A 25,705-nucleotide genomic window follows, 5' to 3' on the forward strand; every position below is an offset into this window, starting at 1 on the left:
AGGTAGAGCAAAACAATCTTTAACAAAAACACTTAGAGAAGTTCTAAGACTTCCAGATTAGAGCATACAGCATAATAAATTTGTGAATTAACCTACCAATTGGAGAAAAGATTCATGCCTTTTCTAAAATATATGATATCATCATGTGCAGATAAGCTATTCAGACTCTACTTACAGAGTAGACTAACTTCTGTTTTTGAGAAGAGAGAGGGAGTGTACAGAGGAGGAGGATGGAAGGATGGGACCATTGCCAGAGCATAGATAAGATGAGTCCGCATTCCTAGCCTCTAAAGGATCATCGATTTGGCTGGAGTCCCTAAGCCTTGTGTTCTAGGACTTCCCCTTATTTTCTGCCCACTCAGCTGACCTCTTAGAATCCTCTTCTCTGGGAGAAGCTTCAGTGTTCATTTCCCTACCTTATGTTCTGCTTGCCTCTTCTGATGTCACTTCCTGGCTCACTGTTCCCCTGAGATTACTTAGGCAAACTCCCACTCTGTCTTATCTCCTCTAGATTTACTTAGTAGTCTCCCTGCAGGGTTGGCAGTCAGCTTTCTTGAATGAAGTCGTGTTAGTCTAACAGTTGATTTGATCTGTGCTTAGTTTGAATGACAGGAGGATGAAGAGGAAAAATTAAAGTTAAGTCTTCTGAGTCAATCCAGCCACTCTGCTTCTTTACCCAAGAAACCCCATCTTCTCTCTCCCTAAATCCAACTAGTGTTTTTTCATCAAACCCCGGATTATCTAGGGTATCAAGAAGCCAAGCAAAACACTAGTTTCTAGAGGTATTCCACCAATGAAAATTAGTTAGGAAGTATGATCTAAAAACCAAAGCCATTTTATCAGAATTGGGGGAATTAAACATTAAACCCTATATACTTTTAAGCTATCTTGTCTTACTCTTTTTAGGCTAAAAACCTGAAAGGAAACCATTTCTATTACAGCGAGAATAATTCACCCTTAGAAGTCCAGTTTTCTTCCTTTTTTGAAATAATATTGTTTGTATTAAGGTAACTGTGTTACTCCTACTGCATCCAAAGCTCACTAATCTCTGAGGTTTTAGGAGATTTATCTACTCTCCTCTAATTGGTAGGGTTGACTTTCCCAGGACATTGCTAAGGTTAGCCCCTGAAGGCAATAATATTTAAAAAAATAAAAAATAAAGGATTCCACATAGCTCCAAAAGTCAGGTAAAAGCTGGAGGGAATTAGAGATAGCAAGGAAAGATCAAGGATTAACTTGCAAGCTCTATTTTCTCTAATATCTGGATCTAGGAAAATTGTCTACCGCCTTGTCTGCTGGATCACTCATCACCTACGCATTTTATAAAAGGCTACCCAAAAAGAAATTGTTAACAAGGAATGTTAACAAGCCTTTAAAAGCTAATAAACAACAGACTGTGGTGTTTGCTTTCAGTTACTCCTGGCAAGCAGAAGTAAGAGCGTAGGTCATCAACTTCCTAGGTGGCTGTAGGGAACACCTCCTACAGTAAGCCTATAGGGACAAAAACTGGTATGGGAATCACAAGTGTGAGCACCATTATCATTACCTTCCTCCACATGCTCTCATTTGTGGAAAAATTAATCTAGGCCTCTCGAAAACCCTATGGAATCTGCCTTTTCATGTCCAGGAACCCTGTGGGCTTTTTCTGATTGCTGCTTGATAGTGCTAACCTATTTTTTGTGTTTTTCAATTTTTAAGTGTTTGTATTTTATGTCAACCTCCTCAGTGAAGGTCATACAGTATAAACAGCCATACTATACAGCCATATATCTGAAAACTTTCTTGGCTTAATTGTGCTTCTAGAACATTCTAAATGAAAAGGGTTAATGTCATTTAAAAAGTAAAGCAATGGAAATTATTAGCATGCTTTGATTTATAGATAATGGCTAAGATTGATGCTTGGTAAAACCCTAATTTTCCTGTTTTAATGAAAAAAAAAAAAAAAAAAAAAAAAAAAAGCTTGTTTCGTCACCATAGAGGCAGCTGCCAGAGTCTACACAGCAGAATTTAAAACTAAAGATATAGTAAAATCTTACCCAACAAATAGGATATTTACAAAGAAGAAACTAAAAAAAAAAAAAAAAAAAATTCAAGTGAGGTTTCACATTTCAAGAAAAAGTCAGCAGCAAAAAAGCATGATTTAATTGTCAGAAAGTTAGGCCTCAGTCTGCACACCATGGAGAAATGAGCTCCTAGTTCAATAGGAGGAGGAAAAGGCCCAAGGGACCAGTTTGATTGTAAACAGGTCATTTTTCCATACCTAAGACGATGTGGAAAGTACATCTTTGGAAAGAGTGTCAAGAATGCTACCCCCATATGAAGGGTATAGTTTGAAGGCTGTTCTACTCAGAAGCACTGAGAGAAACTAAATGGTCTTCTAAATTATTGTTTCATTTGGTTACATGTGAATTCAATTCCTTGAACCAAAGGTACGAAGTTTTAACTTGGTACTCTAACCAGCATCAATAGCCAATATAATATTCTTTTTTTTTTTTTTTGAGACAGAGTCTCACTCTGTCTCCCAGGCTGGAGTGCAGTGACGCTATCTCAGCTCACTGCAACCTCTACCTCCTGGGCTTAAGCAATTCTCCTGCCTAAGCTTCCCAAGTAGCTGGGACTACAAGCATGTGCCACCATACCCAGCTAATTTTTGTATTTTTAGTGGAGATGGGGTTTTGCCACGTTGGCCAGGTTGGTCTCGAACTCCTGACCTCAAGTGATCCACCTGCCTCAGCCTCCCAAGCTGCTGGTATTACAGGCGTGAACCACTGCACCTGGCCTAATACGATATTCTTACAATTTAAAAAATGAAAGCAGAGGAATGGTGGCAGGGAAGCTGACATTTTAAGAGTTCACTTCCTTGTAGTTATCACAGTTAATTCTTACTGTTAGAATAAGTGGTAACTTGCCAAGGTCACATTGCTAGATGTCAGAGCAGAAATTAGAAATCAGGTCTAGCCAAGGCCATCACACTTCTCAGAGCATTAACAATTCAATTCAGTTAGTGTTTATTGAACACCTATTGTGTTCTGGCCCTGTAGGTACTAAAAATATAATTAGGAATAAGATGGAATTTTAGGGAAACGTTCCCTCCATAACAATATGTTTTTTTAAAAAATGTATGTATCTCTTCTGGATCTTTGTTATCAGAAAAAAAAATGTGTGTTTGTGTGTGTTTCTCTAATATGATCTTCCCAAAACTCCTATCTTTTAGGAGGTTTTCTTAGTTGGAGCCAATGGGTTACCACTGTTATCTCCATAGCACGTATTCTCATGTTTTCCCTACATTGCTTCAGGCGAACTTGTTAATTATGTTCACAGTGCTCTCCTGGTTCTGTCGTGCAACTTGTTCTGCTTCTTCCTCAGTGCCTCCTCTACAGGGCTCTGCACACAGTGGGCTGTTAAATACAATAGATGCTTTACATTTGCTGGTATGGAGTTCAGGCTCAATTATTCACAAGTATTTGACATGTCACAATAAATAGTTTTCCTGGACGTGAATTTTAATTCACCCAGATGCTAGGTCTTCTCACAAAGCTAATGAGTGACATAGCCCATAGCCCAGGATCTCAGCTTCACTTGGATACTTTTTGTTTGTTTGTTTTGTTTTGAGACAAGGCCTCACTCTGTCACCCAGGCTGAAGTGCAGTGGCACAAACACAGCTCACTGCAGCCTCGACCTCTTGTGCTCAAGTGATCCTCCTGCCTCGGCTTTCCATGTAGCATGGATCACAGGTGCCCACCACCATGCCCAGCTAACTTCTTAAAAATTATTTTGTAGAGATGGGGTCTGCCATGTTGCCCAGACTGGTCTTGAACTCCTGGGCTCAAGTGATTCTCCTGCCTCCAGAGTGCTGGGATTACAGGTGTGAGCCACTGTGCCCAGCCCTATATATGTGTTAGTTCTTGAGAGGTGATTAAAATTTAGTTTCTTTTTTGAAAAAAGATATCAAGAAAAAAAAACTTAAGGTAAAGTTGAGAAAGTAGGCAATGATAGTGTGGGGTATACATATGAATGCCACTAGAGATTAGATATATAAATGTGGGACAGGAAAAATGCCTGGAATTGTCCTGAATTTTAGATTTCCAACTTTCAGGATTCTCAACTCAATGTATGAGAATATACCATATACTTTTCTTAATGAGTCCTAATGATTCCCCCACCTCAAATGGGGGCATGTCTCCATGTTCAAAAACCTTCGTTTAGTCCAGCGGTATTTAACCAGGGCTGTACAGCAGAATCACCTGGGGTACTTTTTAAAAATACATATAGGAAGGCTGCATTCTAGACCTACTGAAACAGCATCTCCAGTATTGAGGTTAGGACATGTACATTTTGCAAAAGTGTGCAGGATTATTCTGATGAGTATAACCCCTGATTTAAAGAGAGATTCTATGAGGAAATGTCATCGTTTATCAAGGTGACTCTATTCAGTCCTCTTTAGTCATATGTGCTGTCACTGTATACCTCTCCTGGACAGCTGTAGGGTGTGGTGTGTTGGGTTGTCCTGCTATGTTGTTTGACAAACCAGTGGCTTCCAGGGACTGTTTAATGCAAAGCAGTGTCATTGAGTGACTCCTCAGAAGTTCAAGGATTCATTATCCATTTTGTAGATTATTGGACCTTTGCTTCTCTTCCTCCTCTTGTCTGTCTTGAAGATTTTGTTGTTCTTTAACACTTCAGAAAGGGAAATAATTAAGTGCATTTAAATCAATTGAATTTTTATTTGCCAGAGTTCTTTAAAAAAAAAAAAAGGGATAGGAGGGTAAAGGTCATCTACAGTAAAAAGTAAATGTCAAACACAGACATAAGCACTTTTTGTTGTGTGATTTGTTTACAATGACCAAGCTTACTGGTTGTATCTATAAAACTCCTTTCTTTTGAGACCTCAGAGTACCTACTTTTTTTTTTTTTCTAACCAGCATCCTAGGGACAAGGATGGGAGTTTCTCCCCTCTCCCTTACTCTTCTACTTTCACTAGCAACCTAGGAGAAACTGAGGAAGTCTCCTGAGTTTTAATATTTGTAGTTGCAGTATTCACTCAGGGCAAGTTTGGGAGTTTGTGAACAAAGGAAATTAATAGAATGAATGTTGAGATCCAGAGAGGCCAAATGTCACATAGAAAGTCAGTGATAGTCACTCCTAGAACACAAGCTTGGCTAGTTAGTTGGGTGGGGAGTTGGGGGCAGTTTTTGATCATTTTACATTTTGCTAACTTCTAGTTTAAAAAGGTGCTATCCCTAATGCCTCAAATCTAGTGAATCATGGCATGCAAAGAAGTGTGAACTAGGGCTAAGTCACCTTTGTGTAGTCAATTTGATTGCTTTTCTTAAATGGCACCCCCATCTCCAGCTGTGAAGTTCAGCCATCTGATTTGAAAAGTGCATTTATAGATGGAAATAATACAAATCAGTCTCTTGCTAATGCTGTTTTCTTTTCTTTTTTCTTTTTTTGTTTTTGTTTTTGTCTCCTTTCTCTAGCATGAAAGACTTTCTAGGTAAGAACTCTCCCTGTTATATATGCATGCTTAATACTTGTGAGTGAATGCATGTCGAATTAAACTTAGCTTTATATAATAATTCAGTAATGTTTCTCACATCCTTTCCATCCTTTTCATTTCCACAGCCACCACAATAATTCAGACTTTTATTACCTCCTGCCCAAAGCAATGGAACAAGCTTTTCAATTTACCTTCCTGCTTCCAGATTCTCCTCTTTCCAGTTCACCTTGTAGACTTCCACTAGATTAATTTTTTTTAAAGCACCAGCGTACCAGGCACCATGCTCGGTATTAGGGAAACAACATGAATAAGACAGTATCCTTACCTTCAATTAGCTAACAAGCCAGTAGAGAGACAGATCATTTCAACAGAACATAGTAAGTGCCCATTAGAAGTACAGACAGGTATTCTGAGCACAGAGAAGAGCAATTAATCTAATCTGATGGTTCAGATTGAGGTTAGATACTGTTATTTAATAGTGGATCCAACAAAATACCTTATACCTAGATGATGCTCCTTAGTAGTTTGTTGAATGAACAAACTAAAGACCTGTTTTGCAATTGCTGAAAAATTAAAGAAGGATATCAAAATTGGGGGAATGACCCTCTGCAGTTTTTCACCTAGTATCTAAGGGTACAAAACTAATCTTCTGAAAGAAGAAACTAAATAAAAAATAATAGACTATAGAGCCAAAAGTTGGAATCTTTCTTTTTCTACTGTTACTCTGATGGAGAAATTAAGAGATTGGGAGAAGATATAGTTATGGGACTATAGGCCAAATGAGTTTCCTTATAATTTGTTTGGTATTGAGCTGGTTCTGTCTTATTAATATATTCTAATGTTCTTCTTCTGCTTGCCCTCTCACCAGGCAGCAGCTGAGGACAAATCATTTACTTCTAACCTAGCAGAAAATTACTTAGTTTTGCAAAATTGTTGGAGAGTGGTATTTTGCCGTAATCTTTTGTGAACTCTCTCGTATTATAATAGCCATTTGTGAAAGGAAACTTTTTCCCACAGACTTCAAAATATGCTATGAAACTGTACCAATTAAAACAGTGAAGCACTAGCTCAAGAATAAACAAAGAGACCTATGGAACACAATCCATAGCCCCCCAAAAATCACATGTATAAGGTGACTTCATCTCAGTGAGGAAATAATTATTCAGTAAGTGATCATTAGGACAGTTGATTATCTGTTTGAGCAATTATATCCTTCCCTTCAGCCATACCGAGAAACAAATGGATTTCAGTTGGCTTACAATTTGTAAGAGAAAAGTGTTTTACCATAAAAGTTAGCAGAAGAGAATATTTTATAATCTTTATATAGGAAAAGCCTTTCCAAGTGTGATACCATTACCGGAAAGGGGTCCTGATTCAGACCCCAAGAGAGGGTTCTTGGATCTCACGCAAGAAAGAATTCAGGGAGAGTCCATTAAGTGAAAGCAAGTTTATTAGGAAAGTAAAGGAATAAAAGAATAGCTACTCCATAGACAGAGCAGCTGGTTGCCCGTTTTTATGGTTATTTCTTGTTTATATGCTAAACAAGGGGTGGATTATTCATGCCTGCCCTTTTTAGACCATATGTTGTAACTTCCTGACTTTGCCATGGCATTTGTAAGCTGTTATGGTGTTGGTGGGAGTGTAGCAGTGAGGATGACCAGAGGACACTCTCACGGCCATCTTGGTTTTGTGGGTTTTAGCCAGCTTCTTCACTGCCACCTGCTTTATCAGCAAGGTCTTTATGACCTGTATCTTGTGCCAGCCTCCTATCTCATTCAGTGACTTAAAACGCCTTAACCGTCTGGGAATGCAGCCCAGTAGGTCTCAGCCTCATTTTACCCAGCCCCTATTCAAGATGGAGTTGCTGTGGTTCAAATGTCTCTGACAATACCATAAAGATAAAAATCATCAAATTTAATTATATAAAATTTAAAATCTCTAAGTAAGACACTATAAACAGAGACAGAAAGTGAAGTGGGAAAAAATATTTGCTGCCTATATTAGTTTTAAAAGCCCGATGACGAGTTAGTGGGTGCAGTGCACCAGCATGTCACATGTATACATATGTAACTAACCTGCACATTGTGCACATGTACCCTAAAACTTAAAGTATAATAATAAAAAAATAAAAATAAAAAAAATAAAAGCCCTACTCTACAGGAGGTTCCCCTACTACAATAAGAAAAAGATGATTACCCTACTGAACAAAGGCTATGAATTGGCAATTCAGAAACAAAAAAAAAGAAAAATAACCAAAGATATTGATTGTTCATAATGATTTTAAAATATTAAAATTAATGACAGATACATATTTCTGTCATAAGAAATATTTCATAAGAAGGTAACTGGACAAAGGCACTAAGGTTTATAGATAAGTCTGCTCATTTTAGCATTGTTTATAATAGCTAAAAAATTTGAAAAATTTAAGTGTCTATCATAGAAGATTAGTTAAATTATCTTACAGGCATGTAATGGAGAAGACTGCAGTCTTTTTTTTTTTTTTAGTGAGGCAAATCTATTTTTACTTAGATGGCAAGATGTCCACGGTCATAGTGGTAAGTATAGAGAGGAGGAGGAGTTAGACAATAGTGTATGTTATCTGAATTTATTTATAGAACTATGTATTTTAACATATATGCTTGACATTCTGCAAGGATATGAACTAAACAGTTAAAAGTAGTTATTTCTTAGGCAGGATTATGGGGTGACCCTTTCACTTTCTACTTTAGATACTTCAGTATGAACTTTTTCTACAACCATATATTGCTTTTATAATCAGGAAACTCAATAAAGAGATTTCTATTAACAAAAGAAGAAGAAAAAGAATGTTTTGAAGAATGTGGGACTTAGCATCTCTGTGAGTGAAAAGAGGCCACCATTGTCATTAGGAGCTAATTACTTTGCCTCTGCCTTCTCTGTGTCATCCTTATTGCTTCTCTATCTCTTCTAATACTTATTTCAGCTTCCCCACCCCCAGCTATGGCAAATAGCTACCACAGGACAGATACATCAGATGCAATTTTCACAGTTGTGACTCTTCAAACCATCCCAGTTCAGGATGTAGCACTCTGCAGGGCTGATTTCAGTTTCATATGTGCTGCCTTTTAATTTGGAAAGAGCAAAGTCTGAGAAAAATATAAACCAGCGTTAAGGATTTAGGGTGATAGTTGTACACTTAAACAGGTAATCAGCTGAGAGATCCTTCCCTTAATGAACTTACCAATACTGGAAATAAAACCACTATCAACTCTAAGAGCTCAGTTGCTAAAATATGTCAAAATTCTAATCACAGGCACAGCAGTCTTGATGTGGAATATGGATAAGATGGTAGAAAACTAGCTATTTGGGCACTGTGTTGGTATCCCTAAAATGTTTGGGATTCCAGCAAACCTGTAGAGCACCTAAAAGGCATACGTAGCATGCCCTAGTGGCCATTTCATTCCTATTCAACCTCCAGCTCAGATCTCTAAGTCCACATGTTTCTGATTCATTGACAGTTCATTGTAATCATTTTTCCAAGAGCCATTGAAATTCAAGAAATCTTTACTTTTAAAAGCACACTTTTGAGGGAAGCTGTTCAATCCTAAACTAATATGAAAAGCTCTTAAGATTTAAGTCAGCTCATAGGTCCAAACCACTAATTTTTCAATAAGCTTCATTCTTGGCAAATGATGGTCAGCCTCCCTCTCCAAGCTCGTGCAGTTTAGCCCTGAGGTCTGGGAACGCTGGCAGAGAGATTGAAGGAAAGAATGTTATGAGTTGTTTCTGGCCAGGGCTCCGAAATACTTCTTAGAAAAGGCGCAAACTACCCCTGAGCATTACCTTCTCCCCACTACTTTGTTCTCAAAACCAATTTTTATCTTTAATATTATCTCCCACAGGTTGGAATCGGGAGGTAGTAATCCTACAACCAGTGATTCTTACGGTGACCGGGCTTCAGCAAGAGCCCGTCGGGAGGCCCGGGAGGCCCGCCTAGCCACCCTGACCAGCCGTGTAGAAGAAGACAGCAACAGAGATTATAAAAAAGTAGGGTCTTTATTCAATTTTCCGGTTCTTTGGTGACATGTAAACCTCTCAGCCTTCCTCCACCACACCCAGAAAAATTACCATAGCTCTGAATAAGCAGAAGAAAAGGCACTTAAGTAATAATAATTCCTTGCAGTTTTCTGGGTTTACTTCACCTCTCCAAAAAACTAGATAAAGACCCCTTCAGATATTGAGGTGTTTTGTTTTGTTTTTTGAGACAAGGTCTCATTGTTACCCAGGCTAAAGCGCAGTGGTGCAATCATAGGTAACTTCCCTCTCAAACTCCTGGGTTCATAGGGTCCTCCTGCCACAGCCTCCCACATAGCTAGAACTATAGCCATGCACCACCACACACGGCTACATTTTTTATTTTTTATGGAGATTGGATCTCACTATATTGCCCAGGCTGGTCTTGAATTCCTGGCCACAAGCAATCTTCCCACCTCAGCCTCCCAAAGTGCTGGGATTACAGACGTGAGCCACCATGCCCAGCCATATGTTGCTTTTAGTGCAGTAAGTGTATAGTTAGAATCAGGTATTTAGAAGTGTAGGGAAAAGTAAGAAATTAAGAATATAAAAAGGGTGAAAAACCTAATGCTGTCTCTCTGAGCCCCTGAGAATCATTTGGTAGACTGTTATTTTTAACAAACATGTGCTTCTAATAAGGTCCTGTGAATATCAACTAAATACTACTTGGTGTTAGTAAAAAAAAAAAAAAAAAAGAAAAGAAAATCATCATCACTTTACAGTTTATTTCCTTTTTTCTTGTAGAATAGTACCTAACTCCAAGAGTAGACTTAAAAACCTTCCCTTTCAGGTGTTTGCGATACCAGGAAAAACTATTTTTGTAAAGAAAATATTTAGGATGGGCATGGTGGTTCATGCCTGTAATCCCAGCACGTTGGGAGGGTGAGGCAGGATGATCACTTGAGCCCAGGAGTTCCAGACCAGCCTGGGCAATATAGTGAGACCCCCATCTCCACAAAAAATTGAAAAATTAGCTGGGCATGGTGGCTCATGCCTGTAGTCCCAGCTACTAAGTTAGGAGGATTGCTTGAGCCTGGGAGTTCAAGGCTGCAGTGAGGGGTGATCATGCTACTACACTCCAGCCTGGGTAACAGAGCAAGACCCTGTCTCCAAAGGGAATAAAGAGTGCTTGTTCTGTTAATGTTTTGTTAAGCAGAACTTGACTAAAATCAATATACACAGTAGACTGGTTCCAAAAAAAAATTGTCTTTTTCATTGCTCTTTTAAGCAATGAAAATGTCCCATAGTAATGACTGTTTTTCCCCCAGAGATTAACATTATTGAAGTTGGAGCATCATCATTCTCTTTCTGTTCATCACTTTGAAAAAGCAAGAGACCAGTTGGCTGAATGTACTCTGCTCCCTACCCTTCCTTCATTTTCTCTCTCTACCATATAGTGGTGGCTTGGGGCACAGAGCCCTGGGCATTCTCATGTGATGAAATGGTGTGAGTTCTAACGCGAACGCTGATCCTCTTTTTTCCCTCTCCTCTAGCTCTATGAGAGTGCTCTGACTGAAAACCAAAAACTGAAAACAAAACTTCAGGAAGCCCAGCTAGAGCTAGCAGATATAAAGTCCAAGCTTGAGAAGGTGGCCCAGGTAAGACGGAAGAAGAAGAAAAAAGATGAGAACCAAGGGTTGATGTAAGGAAGCAAACTAGACTAGGGATCTAAGGGACAGGAAGTAAGATAGAGTCAAGATCAGGCCTTCTCGGGGCAATGAGATAGAAGCTTCTTAGATTCTAATTTATTTTAGGTTTCAATCAGTGTTTAACTTAAAAAGGAAAACTGATAATTCAGTGAACAATTCCTGATGGTCTGAATGCTAATAATTAATACTATGGCTCATCATCTACTTATTTATTAGTAGAAAAGCATAAACCAGCACTACAAAGCTAGTCCTAGACAGTTCCTCTTGTCCTGTTCATTATGTTTCAGTTCAGTTTATCTACACTTCACCTCTTGGAGAGAGATAAGCAAGACCCTATTAAACCTAGGGCAGAGAGATAACAAATTAAGCCTAGAGAAGTAAGTGGTTTGCTTAGGCCATATAACAAATCAAGGGCAAAGGTGGTGCCACAACATAGGGTTAAGTCCCAAAGCAAAGATTCTGTAGCATATGTTATCTCCCCAAGCCACCACTCTTTTTCAGCCTACAAATAAGGAATATTAGTGGCAGAAAGACTGATAAACTATTTCCTCTCACTGCCAGGTTTGATTTAATTAGATGATGCTTTAGAGGATGCTGGAGGTAATAACCTTGTCACCAGTGAAACAAACTCCGCAGCTGAAAGCTAAAGCAAGCACTGCTTTTGGTTATTGCTGAGTTATCAGGAAACCTATTGAGTTATTTCCCTCCTAGAATGCCTGGGGACTTAGAATTTCGAAAGCTGAACTGAAGTAAAAATGATTCTTTAGCAGGAAGGCTTGAAATGAAAACCAGAGGTGGCTAGTCATTCTGGCAATATGACTGGCTATCCAAAAGCAAAGACTAAAATGCTAGGGTTGTACAGTACCAAATACATGGAGTTTGGAGGGCAGGGGTGTTGATTACCCTCTAAACATCCTATTCTAACCCCTCTGGAATTGCATGAGCAGGAGGGTGCCAACACTTGGAAGACAGCCCCACAGAGCTGCGTAGGACTCCAGCAAGACAGCCAGGACACTCACTTTCTGGAGAAGGGCTTACCCAGGTGTAAAATGTGAACTGCCTGTCAGTTTAGAAGAGCCACCCCCTTTTTCCTGATTATAGTAGCCCAACATGGCTCTACTGGAAATTTCTGAGACTTACTGCAACACAAATAGATAATAACTAGGCTTAAAGTGATTTTGTGGAATAAGAAAAGTAGGTTTCTAAATCTAAAAGAGAAAAATACACACATAGCTATAGCCCTGCCATAAGGCAGCGGGGTGGACTGAATAAATCTCACTCCAACATTATTGAGCCAGGCAAAAAAAAAAAAAAGTCTCATTCACAGTAGACCCTCAAAAGAAATCTGGGGCTAATTTTTATTCTGAATGGCGCCACATATTGGCAGTGGTTTATAAATACAGATCTTATGCTGGTTCTTGTCAGTTATTACTAGGATTGTTTTACAGAAAATTAAAGAGCAGTCATGTGAGGAACCACAGGAAGAGCAGTTTCACCTGCTCCCCACTCTTCTCAGCGGAAGCTTCTGACAGCATATGTCTTGACCTTTAGGGGTTCTCAGCATTTCCACCAGCCCATGCCTTAGAACAGTGAGCAGTCTAACAAGCTGCTGACATTGACTTGCACAGAGGGCACTGAAAATAAAATCAGCCTTTCCAGTTGCTGGGGAAAAGCATTTACTCTCTGGCCCACTGCTTTGCTGGGTGTGTCAAAATATACTTAGTTTTGCCAAATACAAGTTATTGAAATTCATAAGAAATGGTGCTGCTACAAACCAAGTCTCTGCCATTTACCAAAAATGGAGTTGTTTGGCAGGACAGTGGAGGGAGGGCTTCTCAGCCTCACACATTTGTATGGAGACAGTTACCACATGAACATACACAATATTTTTACATAAAAGATCCACCCCAACTCTAAGGGAGTCAACATTAAAAACAGAACAAACAAAAAACTAGTTCTTTGTGTATATAAACCTTGAAAATCATGAAATCATCACAACTTCTACAGCTCCTCAGGCTTAGGAAAGAAAGACTTACGAGGATATTAACAAGCTGTAGGATCTATTTTTGCGTTTTTTTCTCTTCCTTCTGCTTCATAGTAGATGCAGCATAAAGGCAGACAGCCATGCCCTTCCAAACAGAAGGTGAAAGCCCAGGACAGGAGCCAGAATTCTGAGTTTTATTGTTAGTTCTGGCCATTCCTTAATTTTTTTTTTAAAAAAAGAAACTGCTGCAAGAAGACCAGCATAATTTCTATATTTATTTAAATGTTGTCTCTGCATGACACTAAGCAAAATAAAAATAATCACCCAGCAGTTATTAAATGTCTACTGAATGTAAGAAATTCTGCTGAGTTCTATGACCCTAAGGCCAAAAGGGACTTAAGGGTTTTTTATTCCCCTTTTAAGGAAGGGCCATTATCTGAGGTTATTCTGTTTTTTTTGCCGTGAGGCTAAGTCTTTTCAGCCCCTCTGCAAAATTTAAGTCAAAGATGATCTAAAATAAACATTCTAAATCTTTTATTCAAATAAAATTACCTTATCTGGAAGCCCAATATATAAGACAGATGAAAGTGGACTACCTCTGTTCAAAGCAGGGCAGATGCCATGAATGGACTCCTAAGAACCCCTTAAAGCCCACCCACATATGAAAACTGCTGCTCTAAAAGAAAAATGGTATCAATTCCCAAAACAGAAAGAATAGGGGAAAGGGGATTATTTAGACAAGTGCCATTGGCCTTAGACATTCTCGCTCAGGAGTTGCCAGCCTTTTAAAGAAAAGCCTTTTTTTTTTTTTTGTTATTTCCTCTGGGTTGTGATATTACTCATAGAATGAAGAGAGGAGAAGAATGGTGAGATGTAAAATTGTAATTAGCATTGAAGACCTGTGGAGAGAGAGAGAGAGAGAGAGATTGTGTGTTGTAAGTAATTTCTTTGTAATTTCAGGGAATACTACTACTGCCTTCCCCTCCCCAGAGGGAATCCTGCAAACTTCAGAGAGGTGATAATGTTAGGCTTAGAGATCTATCAGAACCTGTTTGCTGGGGATCCCTGCTATAGGGGAAGTCCAAAGTTTTACTGTTTATTTCTAGATGTCTAGTAGTGAAGCTGAACTAGACTGGGCGTTCTACTGGCCCTTAGACAACTTAAATAACAACTGTTTTCCTTCCATTTGCACCAGCAGAAACAAGAAAAGACCTCTGACCGATCATCAGTGCTGGAGATGGAGAAACGGGTATGCGCATGTCTGTTTCCCCCTCCACCCCATTTCATCTCTTCTTTCTGACTCTCTCCCACTTTGTTATTCATGCCAATGGAAAAAGTCCATCTTAAGAAGGAGGGAGTTCTGCCACATTCCATTCCCAGCTTGATGATAAATTCTTTTTGTCTGACTCTAGGCAGTAATTTGATTGCTAGTCCTTTTGATTTCCTCAGATGGTCAGTACTTTCCACATATTTAGTCTTAGGGTGGGAAGGGTCCTTGGAAGGTCATCTCGTACATTGTTCTGACTGTGGGCAGAACTGCATACACACACAACCCATAACATTTTGGTTTACTGTAAATCATTGCATACACACACACACACACACACACACACACATCCAAGGTCTCTTTACCGTTTTCATAACCTTGAACAGAAAGGAAGCTTTCAGTGGGACCCTCTGCCATTTAGGTCTTACGACTTGAAACATGAGCCAACACAGTCTTTCACTTATTTTGACTGAGGGGAGGATTTCTGGTTCAATTGCTGATCTCCTCCCAACTGTACTCAGAATATTATTCTGGGATTTTACATTCTTGGATTGGGAAAATTCAATTAGATTTATTGATGGACCCTAGCTTTGATTTGGCCCTGGAGATATAATATGTTCCCATCTGTCCTGTTGTTGTCTGTTTAATTTGGAAAGCAGCTAAGTTTTACATTTTATTCCTTTGGCCTGTAACCAAACTTCCTTGGTATCCCATCTGATCAAAAACTCCTCATTGGGTTTAGGCTAAACCAAGAGTCAGTTGCTGGGAAAGAGAAATGGAACGGGAGAGAAGCAACTACAGGGGGAGGGAAGAAACTAGGGGGAGAGATGCTGTTTCTTAGACAATGATGTCTACTTCCCGGCTCACCATCTGCTCCTCATCATGAGAGAAGCAGTTTCCTAGGAATTTAGGGAGAGCATTACTGAAGATAATGATGCCTTTTTGATAATAGAGAGCAAGGGCCCTAGTCACTTGCAGACATTTGAAATTCTATGAAATCTTCAACCTGCACAGAGTAACTGAATGTCTTCTTCTGTTTGCATATTAGCAAGTTGCTTCTCCATATATCTACTGATTTTATGATAGGAGATTTAGATAATGTGATTTTTATCAGTGAGGTAGCTCCATCTTACAAGTGGCAGGATCAGATAGTGCTCAGATCTCCTGAGTAAGGTTTGCCTGAGTCAGCAGACAAACCTTTGACCGTGAATCTGCTGATCACACAGCAGCTGGGAGGCAGCATTTTTACTCCCTTCTGAATTCAATAATGTTCAACAGTCTCATTGTTCCGAAACAGGAGAGGCGAGCCTTGGAGCGCAAAATGTCAGAAATGGAGGAAGAAATGAAGGTATGAAGAGATTTTCTTTCTTTTTGTATGCCTGTTCTCTGAATGCCTGCCAAGACTGGATATTTGAGCATAGGCCTGCCCCCTCCAGATTTCACTACAAACTCAATATCTGCAAGAAGAAATGATGTGTAAAAAAGTGAGCATCTCTCCTCAGCCATTTCCTAGGCTCTCTCAGCTCACACAACATCCATTGAGGACACCTTAAAGGCATTCTAGGAAAAAATACTGCCTTTGGTTTAAGGAGAGGTCTTGGCAGGCTTGAAACAAACTTGAGTTTAACTTTTAAGGCTTTTCAAGCAGTATCTTTGCCCTCTAGAGGGTAAATGAGAAGGCTAGAACAAGTTTTCCAGCTCTGGGAGCCTCCCATTGGGTGCCTGGGGAAGCCTGAGCATGGCCATAAGCTTTCTTCCCTGGTGCCCCTCCCAACCCATCCCTTTGCTGGCAAGAACACAGATTGAATCATTCTGCAGCAAAATAAAAATGTATTCACATATTGATTTCCTGCCCCAGTACATTAACTCTGAAATATTCAGGGATGCTTGGCACTCTCCCACTAGAATAAGCTCATGCCACCAGATACACTTCACAGCTCACTACTTTCCTTTCTCTCCTCACCATGACCTGCAGTGACCATCACCTCCATTAGCCACTTTAATGGACAGCTGCCATCCTGGGCAGTTTTGAGTGCTAAGAACTGGAAATCTACCCAAAGCAGTCAATTTGCTGCCATGGGAGGCAGTGGGGCAGGGGGAGGGGAGGAGGGTGAAAGGGGCAAGATGGATACAGAGCTGCAGGGAATATAGAGCTGGTCAGGGTAGCCACCTGGAGATTATTTTGAAACATCTGATTCCTGCAATGCATGATGACACATGCCCATAATCACTTAGCACCTACTCAGCTTTTTTCTTTCTTCAGGCATCTTATTTTACCAGATACATGATGCCAAGCATTCATTTGGTGAGACAGGGTTATTCAACTGGGAAGCCAAAGCACTGGGATAGTATTAGGCAGATCCCCAAATGTCTTTCTATGAGCAAGCATCCCTAATATGCAGTTTGGGAGAGACATTTATTGTTCCAGTGGCCTAAATAGATTGGTTATTTATTGAAAAAAAAAAAACTTTTTAAGACCTGTTGAGGTTATAGTTTACACCAGATCTGGTGCTCATAATCAATCCTGTTACTCTATAATTCCAGAATGAAGGAGAAATGCTGAGCCTTGCCCTTGCATTTCCTACCACTATCCCAAGGCTGTAACTGTAACATTCACATAGAATTTTAAGCAATACCTGCTTATATCTCAAACATTTTAAATCTTCCAAGTTGATTCAAGCAGCAAGAAATAGAAATAATAAATAATTGATTCTCATGAGATGGTAGAACAGTATGCCCTAGCACCTAAACTTCTGCATCTTGTGATTTTTTTCAAACGCACCTTACTACCACACAGAAGTATTCTCTCCCGCTTAGAGCAGTGAGTTATTAGAGATAACCAGTTCTTTTTTAATTTTTAAGAGATGGAGTCTCGCTATGTTGCCCTGGACTTGAACTCCTGGGCTCAAATAATCCTCCCATCTCATCCTCCCGAATAGCTGGGACTACAGGCACGTGCCGCCACACCCAGCTGAGCTAACTGTTTCTTGATGAGTGCATATCCACAGCTCCTTGTTGCATGGAGGCTCCTCCATTTTTGAAACCTCCTGAGTTATACCATCTGTACTCTGCTGTTAGGCAGCTGTCAGTGTTCCTTATTAAGAAATGTCCTAAATGCTGATCTAGAGCATGTAATTGAGGCAAAAGCTAGAACCTTTCAAGGAGTACCTGGGAGCCCAAAGCCAGCCTCCACTCACCAGTCATGGGGCTCTGTGTCACATCAAAGCAGGCCCACACACAAAAACCCAGAAAGTGGTCAAATTAGAGAAATTGAGGCCCTTTGTTATTTTTATTCCAATTCTAAATTTGGAATTATGGAAGCCCCTTCAGTGGTTCTAGTTGCCCTCAATTCTGTAGGTTGAGATAGGCTTACATTTTTTCTCTGTCTCTTTATGCTATCAGTCTATGATTTCCTAAACTAGATCATGAGTTCTTTCCTTTCCTCAAGAGATTATAAGATACGAAAGTGTTTGCTCTCCCCAGCCATAAGCCATTTGCCAGCAACTCTAAAATCAATTGTAAATTATCAAGTGGAGCCAGATCATGAATGTTTAGTCCCTAAACCAATAGGTAAGCTGTTGTGAGGCTGTTTTTTGTTTTTTTTTTCTCTTTGAGACGGAGCCTCACTCTGTAGCCCAAGCCTGAGTGCAGTGGCACAATGTCGGCTTACTGCAACCTTTGCCTCTAGGCAGATTCAATCGCTCAAGCGATTCTCCTGCCTCAGCCTCCAAGGAGCTGGGACTAGTAGTGTGTGCCACCACACCCAGTTAATTTTTTTGTATTTTTAGTAGAGACAGGGTTTCACCATGTTGCACCAGGTGGTCTCGAACTCCTGAGCTCAGGGGATCCACCCACCTCGGCCTCCCAAAGTGCTGTGATTACAGGTGTGAGCCATCGCGTCTGGCCAGGACTGATTTTTTTTTTAGTTAAAACATTCAGATTCAGTCAGGTGTCCATTATTCTCCATTATCCATTACAAAGCCAAATGAAGAAGAAATGCCTGTAAACTCTAAAGCCCCTAAACACTATTTGCTCAAATCAAAGCCCAATGCCAGGTTTGCAGATCGTCCAGCACCCCCTAGAGGACTAAGGGAGAAGCATCTGTGCCTCTGCATTCTCACCAGTTTTATTTTTCTGTCTGTACCTACTTGAAGACAAAAACTTCAAAGATGCAAATATATAAATATGATAAAATTGGTATGACTGGCCCTAAAAGAGTCTAAGAAAATACTTGTTTAGCTCTCAAGCTCTTCATTCAGACTATGGTTTATGGTGACCAACATTGCTAGAGTGATTAATAGCTAAAATCTCTCTGTACTAGGCAGCCAAAGGTACAGGTGACTGTCTGGCTGAACTGGGACCCAGTAGAGCTTGGGGCCAGTTGGTCATGCTTGTTGCATATTCATTTTGTACAGATGCTCAAACCTCCTTGGAGCAATCAGTAGGGAACAGTAGAGGGGGCTGATCTCCAGTGAACCCTTAAAAATATAGTAGGTTACTCAAGGAAAGAAAGTGACTTCAGTCCTATTTTTCTAACTCTACCAAATAAAGTACAAAGGCCAGGTGAAATGGGGGAACCATGAGATGGGCTAACCCAGATGTATATGTGGCTCTGTGGTTATGAGATGTGTTGTGCCTTTCTGGACTTTTATTGGAAAGGTAAGTATTTATGAATTCTCCTCAAGAGAAACTCCACCCAGATCCTAGATTGGAGTAGGATTATATGCCAACTTCTGACAGGTGTGCATGTCAGTGTGAGCTGTGCCAGGCCTGCACCTGGTCTTGGCGCCCACATCAGATGTGATTACTTCTCTACTGCATCCTCCACTCAGCATCAGCCTCCTTGTCAGACCTTCTCCCCTTCCTTTCCTAGGTCCTTGCATGAGAGGGACCCAGCAACCAATTCCTTTTTAGATTGGTCCTGGAATTTTTATTTTTCTTTGGAAAGATTACTAGCTGACCCTGCTCCTTAGCCCTGCCCTTGCCCATCCTGCGCTGGGCCCTGCCCCTTCTCCTCTCCTCCTTGCCTTGCCTTGTTTTCAATACTGCTTCCTATAGAACATTGACCAGATTGTTTCCTGCCTCTCTCCCTCATGCTGATAACTTCCAAATTCTTTCACCTTGATCTGCTTATACTCACTTGTCAGATTGAGTCACTTTCATCATTCATGTCTTTAATGTTATTCCCTGGGAGGTAAGTACCACTTCATACAATGACAATTATTTGATAATGATTATGTTGAAAGCTTTGGTCCAATGTCAACACCAAAGAAGGGTGAGAGCCAGGGACTTTCCATTGGCTTTTAAATTTGGTCCCTGCCCATTGCTTTAATCTTTTCCATATGCTGTACCATGATCTCCCTCCTCTATCCTCACCATGGCCAAGATGCTTACAGTGGGCAAGGAAGATTGCCCGGTCCTCACCCTCCAATGGCTACATGAGACAGTTTGGCTAGCCTACCTTTATTCCAAGGTGGTCATTCTTTCTCTTTGGTTAAAGAGATTCAGCAGTTTGTCTCTGCTTGTTTTTCCTTTTCACTGTTTTTCCCCTTCATGCTACCTTTCATTTTCTTGCTTCTTCACTCCCAAACAACTATAACTCCACTAATCTTTCATTTCTATCCTTCTCATCTTATAGATATGAGAGACTTTTCTCTGATACCTGGCCACCTTTTTGTAGTCATTATAACCCACAGGATTGTCCATCCTCATCTGTGAAACCCCATTTGCATAAAAAAATCATTATTCTCCTCCCAAAGAGTTGATGGTCTCAGTTTCGGGGCAGTGCAGATGACTACTTAGGAAGGACAGTAGCAGAGTCGGCAGGCCTTTGATATAATTCCAATTATTAAAGTCTTTAAATGTCTTATGGAATATGGGGTATCAGGAAGAATGTCTGTGGGCTGGTTATTCTGTTCCGCTTGCAACACTGACAGGCAGAAAGGGCTGGACTAGCACATTGGTCCAGCTAGTTTCATTATCATTGGGCTTTTATGGTTTCTCCAGCTTTTTTGCACAGCTATAATTTCCAGAGTATGAGTCTGTTTATGAACACCTTTAAGCAGCTCCCAAACTGCTTGAACTGAGACAAAGAAAGCATGATTAGCTGTGAATTTAGTGATGCATATAATCTTATAGCAGGTCAGAGACAGGTTAGCAGTTTTTGGATCCTGAAACAATCTCTCTGGACTGCAGAGGAAAACTATCAGGGTTAATGAAGCTTCCTACAAAGCAGGTTAGAGGACGATCCAGAGAGCTGACAGTTCTTTCTTATTTTGGTATGTGTAACTTTAACCTTCTAAACAGTACATGCCCCACAAAAAAAAAAAAAAAAAGCTTAAATAATAGGCCTCTCTTTTATTTTTTAAAAATAAATGAGGCCAAATGCAGTGGCCCACACCTGTAATCCCAGCACTTTGGGAGGCTAAGGCAGGAGGATTGCTTGACCTCAGGAATTTGAGACCAGCTTGGGCTACATAGCGAAATCCTGTCTCTACAAAAAATATAAAAATTATCCAGGTATGGTGGTGCATGCCTGTAGTCCCAGCTACTTTAGGAGGCTGAGGTGGGAAGATGGCTTAAGCCTGGGAGGCAGATGTTTCAGTTTTGTGCCACTGCACTCCAGCCAAGGTGACAGAGTCGGACCCTATCTCAGATAAATAAACAAAGTGAAAGAAGGGAGCTGAGTATGAGGGGAAGATTAGAGGAAGGGAGAGAGAAAGGGGCAGCAGCTAGATTTAAGAACACACCAAGTCCTCAGCTCTAATCTCAGTCATGATGAAGGGTCCCTGAAGTTATGCCTCAACCATGTTAATTTGGTTCAGAAGGCTCCAAACCACATGCTGGACTTTCATTCTCAAAAGCAATCCATATGTGCCTTTTGAGAGCCTGGCAGTTATATTCATATGGCATATTTAGATCTTAGCCAAGAATCAGACATAGCTCTCCTTCCCTGTTGCTTTTCTCCATCATCCTTCCACCTGCCACCCATTTGCTCCATGACTCCTGCCTTTCTCATTTCCTTTCTTGCATGCAAACTAAAAACAAAAACAAAAAGTCATGTGATTTCTTTGTCCTACTTTTCTCTCCTCTGGTCTGTCTTGTCTCTCTCTGTCTTTTCTGTCTGTCCTTTTCATGTCTCAATCTCTACAGAACCTCCACCAGCTAAAACAGATTCAAACCTTGAAGCAGATGAACGAGCAACTGCAGGCTGAGAACAGGGCCCTGACCCGAGTGGTGGCCAGACTCTCGGAGTCCATCGAGTCCTCGGACACCCAGGAGCTCTAGTTCTTGCCCCTACTCTCCAACTCACTTCCCTCCTCCACTACTCCAGGCAGGTTCAGTCTTCTTGTTAGTCCCAGAAGCTCTGTGCTCATCCCCTCCATCCGAGCCTCCATATGCAGGTTCCTGCAAAGCTTGGTTATCTGCAGATGGAAGCAGCCAGGACTGAGATCATAGAATGGGACATACCAGCCTAGGTCAAGGGAGGCAGTGAGAGAGACCTCAGCTGGGCTACCAATATATTCATTTGGTAAGGTCACCACATTAGCTTCTCTTCCCCTGGAGACTGAGTATGAATTTGTTCACTCAGCTACACATAGGTATACACGTGTATGTGCATATACCTGTGTACATGCACATATACATATTTCATTGACGGGGTCATTGCCAGATGGAAATTGATCTTTCTTAGCCAATAGCAACCCAAGTCCAACCCACTCCCCTGGAGCAACTGGGGTTGGGCCTTGGGTAACCAAGGGCAGGGGCTCTCAATCTTGGCTGCAAGAAACATCTAGGAGCTTTTAACGTATACCTATGGGTATATTTTAAACATATACATAGCTTTTAACATATACATATAGGGATGTCTGGGTCCATCCCCAAATAATCAGTGGTCTGGGTTGAGACCCAGGCATCAGTATTTTTTCAAACCTCTCCTATTGATTCCTTATACAACCATGGTTAAGAACCACAGCCCTTTGGATACCAGACAGTCCTCACGGCTGACAACATTACCGATGGAGAGGACTAAAACTCAAGGTTGGAACTGTTCCTGTCCAGCTCCACTACCAGCAAAAACACTCTGCATCCCATTATTCAAGCATAATTGGATAAGCATTCTTTGCCTCCTTCTGCAGTAGTCTTTGCTTTCTTCTCCCACCTTAGGAGGCATATCTCTCATTCCCGTCACAAATCTTTGGGCCCTAGGGATGTGCCCCTCCCTGTCCTTAGTGTGTGGGCTGTGAGGCAGAACACAGCCTATATAAATGAGACCCTCATGGAGCCAGGCCCTCTCTAATGAGGCCAGCTTTGCAAAGGATATGGCAGGCAGTGGAGCAGAGAGCAAGGATTTATTTTCAACTGAGAACCAAAAATGTGCTTGGCAAACTGGATCCTTTCCCTAGCTATGGATCTGAAAGACAAGCTCACAGACAACTGGTTTTTCTATCTCAAGATGGTATGATGGGGTCACCACTCCTCTGAGATGAATTTTTAATTGTCAGCAACAATCTAATTAGTCCTGACCAGAGCCTGTTCTTTCTTTCAGCCTATTTGCTTTTGCCTTCAGGGTTAGTAGCTGGCAACTAATATCCACTAGAACTGAATCACCCGAATTATCATAGGGCTGAGCTAATATCCTGCTGTAGATGCTATCATAGGCAGAAAGAAAATTGAAAGGCAAGTTCTACCATGGCCTGGCTGTAAGCAGCCACTGTTAGGTCCAGACTCCATGCTTTAAAGTTAGCCTCAAGATTCCTGGAAATTTTTACTTAGGCTAAACTAGGGACCCCCCAAAAGGTGTCCCAGTTATTTTTAGTATCCCTTTGTTGCAAGATAGTATAGGATATGGGGCAAAACTAGATCTCATGCTTTCAGTAGTTAATAACCTTAACAGTTGTCATTTATTTAAGGCCTGTGCTGAATGCTTTATATAGTTTTTCTCATTTATTCCCCAAAACAATTATTGTAAAAATGAAAAAAAAAAAACTGAGTCACAGATTAAATAACTTGCCCAAGGTCACTCCGAGAGTAAGTGGTAGAACCAAAATTCAAACCAAATATGTCAGGTTCCAGAGTGCAAACTTTTCACCACTGTAATATAAGCTGTCTGCATATTTGGCACAGTTTTCACCATTTGTTAAGCATGTGGCCCAAACAATGCAAGAAGGATCTATTGAGCAACTACACTGTGCCCCCAGCATTGCAGCTGAGGGAGGAAGGGCAGCATTCTGCTTTCTGAGCACTGTGACTTCCTTGTCAAAGCCTAACTTCTAAAGAGCCATTTACCTACCAAAAGATTTTGCTGCTGTAAAGAAAGCCATTGCCTGGTACATGACCATAGCAAGGGTTAGCAAACTGTGACCCACCACCAGTATGGCCCATAAGCCATACAAATAGTCAAAAAAGAAATCAAAAGAAGAATAATATTTTACGACATATGAACACGAACATTATATGGAATTTAAATTTCAATGTCCAAAATAAAAGTTTTATTGGAACTGAACCAAACTCATTTGTTTACATATTATTGTTATGTCTATGGGTGCTTTTGTGCTACAACAGCAGAGCTGAGGAGTAGCAACAGAGACTGTTTGACCTGCAAACCCTAAGATACTTATTGTCTGGCATTTTACAGAAAAAGCTTGCCGATTCTTGCCAGAAGGAAGGATGAGATAACTAAGCCAAACTGGCAGTGCAGTCGAGAGATTTTACTCTACCTTTTTTTTTTTTTAATAGTTCCCTGGAAAAATCATCTTATCTCAGCATGTAGAGCAAACCACTTACCAACAAAATACCAGAGGGGACTCCCTTCCCACTTTCCTTGTAGTTAAAAGCAAGACAGCTCATGCAAGACTCATCCTGAGTCCCTCTCAACCTACAGCTAGCCTTGCTCTAGGTCTCTGAAGCTTTAGGACCCCTGTAGCCCCTTCCTCTTTAACACATTCCTCAAAGACTGTAAGAAGTAACAGTTGAGAAATGTGTACTTAATTTTATTTGCCCAGGGTATCTTTAACACCAAATTGTGGTAAGCTGGGAACTTAAAAATTAAGAAACTAAGATCCAGAGAGTTAAAATGATAAAGCTTTGCTAAACTTCATACTTATATCGTACTTTCACATATGTTCTTATTTAACCATTCTTTAACTTCAAGTGGATATCAGATAACACTGTTCATTTCCCCCTCTCTCTGCTGAGATTGAACTTTGTGGGGCTTCCCCCGCCCCTTGATTTCTACATTCCACCTCTTAACACTTTTTGCCACTCCCTTTAGATGTCAATTGTAGCATGTTGCAGCTGCAAAACTGCCTTGTCCAAATTTTTTTTTCAAGGAATTGACTTCTTAATGTGGAAATAAATCACTAAAACTCTACAAGACTCTACAAGTTGTTTATACATTTTTTAAGGCAGCTTAGTTCTGATTTGATGAGCTGCTAAGCAGTGAAATGTAATCCATTGCCATATATAGCTTCTTCCTACCTATTATGGAAATGTGGCTTTCGTCTCACTTATACCCAAGCTGCAGCCCCAGCATGGGGCGTTAAAGAGCAGATTGAACACGGAAACATGAGGCCACCCTGGGTTTTTTCTAAAAATCTCATTGAAATGAGTTTCCAAGCATTCAGTCTGGTAGGCAAGGCTACAGGGATAGAGGAACGAAGGAGAGGGCAGCCAGAGCTGCTTTGATTAAATCAGAGGTAGGAGACCAGGGTCAAAGGACTGCAACTTTATTTTTATATTTTCTGGATTAAGTCTTCTTAATAAAGTTTGCAGATTATTTGCCTGCCCTCCCACAGTCATGAGAAAACTCACAGTGATTGTAGGAACACTCAGTATCGCAAAGCTCATTATGTATGTCAACACACTTCCACATCTGTTACCTCCTGTGAGCCTTGCAGAGTCCCTACCATACGAGAGAGTAGGACAGGGACTGTTGTTCTTACGAAAGTACAAAAATGGAAATGCAGAGAAGGCGAGTGATCTGCCTAAAGTAATAGATCACTAGTGACAAAGACAATGCTGGAATTTCAGTTTCTAGGCGTCAAACATTTTTGGTGTTTTGTTTTCCATCCCACGTGTAATAAAAGAATGATCTTTGGAGTCAGGCACACTGGGATTCAATATTAGCTTTGCTGGGTGCCTTGAACTAGTTATGGCACTTTTCATTTCCCCATTTGTAGAAATCGGGATAACAACTGTATCATAGTCTCATGAGGCACTAGGGAGACCCTCTAGCACAGTGCCATCCACA

At 40.6% G+C, this 25,705-nt stretch overlaps 1 protein-coding gene across 17 annotated transcripts in view, besides 2 other annotated features; it reads left to right on the top strand.

Annotated features, from left to right (window-relative positions):
• PPP1R12B (protein phosphatase 1 regulatory subunit 12B) overlaps positions 1–25,705 on the top strand; it is a 244,004-nt gene that overhangs the window by 204,697 nt on the left and 13,602 nt on the right. For 5 of the 17 annotated variants that reach the window (NM_001410283.1, XM_017001342.2, XM_047421210.1 and 2 more), the window contains 6 exons: positions 5,482–5,498; positions 9,383–9,527; positions 11,048–11,152; positions 14,383–14,436; positions 15,752–15,802; positions 21,607–21,787. In NM_001410283.1, coding sequence (NP_001397212.1) covers positions 5,482–5,498; positions 9,383–9,527; positions 11,048–11,152; positions 14,383–14,436; positions 15,752–15,802; positions 21,607–21,741 — 507 coding nt within the window. In that variant the 3' untranslated portion in view covers positions 21,742–21,787. Of the gene's footprint in view, positions 1–5,481; positions 5,499–9,382; positions 9,528–11,047; positions 11,153–14,382; positions 14,437–15,751; positions 15,803–21,606; positions 21,788–25,705 lie in introns of those variants that run through there. The other 12 variants (NM_001331029.2, NM_002481.4, NM_032103.3 and 9 more) reach the window with 5 other exon arrangements.
• Positions 14,277–14,949: an enhancer, noted in NCBI's record as "OCT4-NANOG-H3K27ac-H3K4me1 hESC enhancer chr1:202536800-202537472 (GRCh37/hg19 assembly coordinates)". NCBI's record gives its function as "activates a minimal SCP1, AML or CMV promoter by ChIP-STARR-seq in naive H9 embryonic stem cells {active_cell/tissue: H9 hESC(naive)}" and the evidence as "EXISTENCE:reporter gene assay evidence [ECO:0000049][PMID:30033119]".
• Positions 18,366–18,660: a silencer, noted in NCBI's record as "tiled region #13308; HepG2 Repressive non-DNase unmatched - State 13:Ctcf, and K562 Repressive DNase matched - State 12:CtcfO". NCBI's record gives its function as "represses a minimal TATA promoter and a strong SV40 promoter by Sharpr-MPRA in HepG2 and K562 cells {active_cell/tissue: HepG2 | K562}" and the evidence as "EXISTENCE:reporter gene assay evidence [ECO:0000049][PMID:27701403]".

Source organism: Homo sapiens, chromosome 1 (genome assembly GCF_000001405.40).
Source record: "Homo sapiens chromosome 1, GRCh38.p14 Primary Assembly".
Classification (NCBI taxonomy): Eukaryota; Metazoa; Chordata; class Mammalia; order Primates; family Hominidae; genus Homo; species Homo sapiens.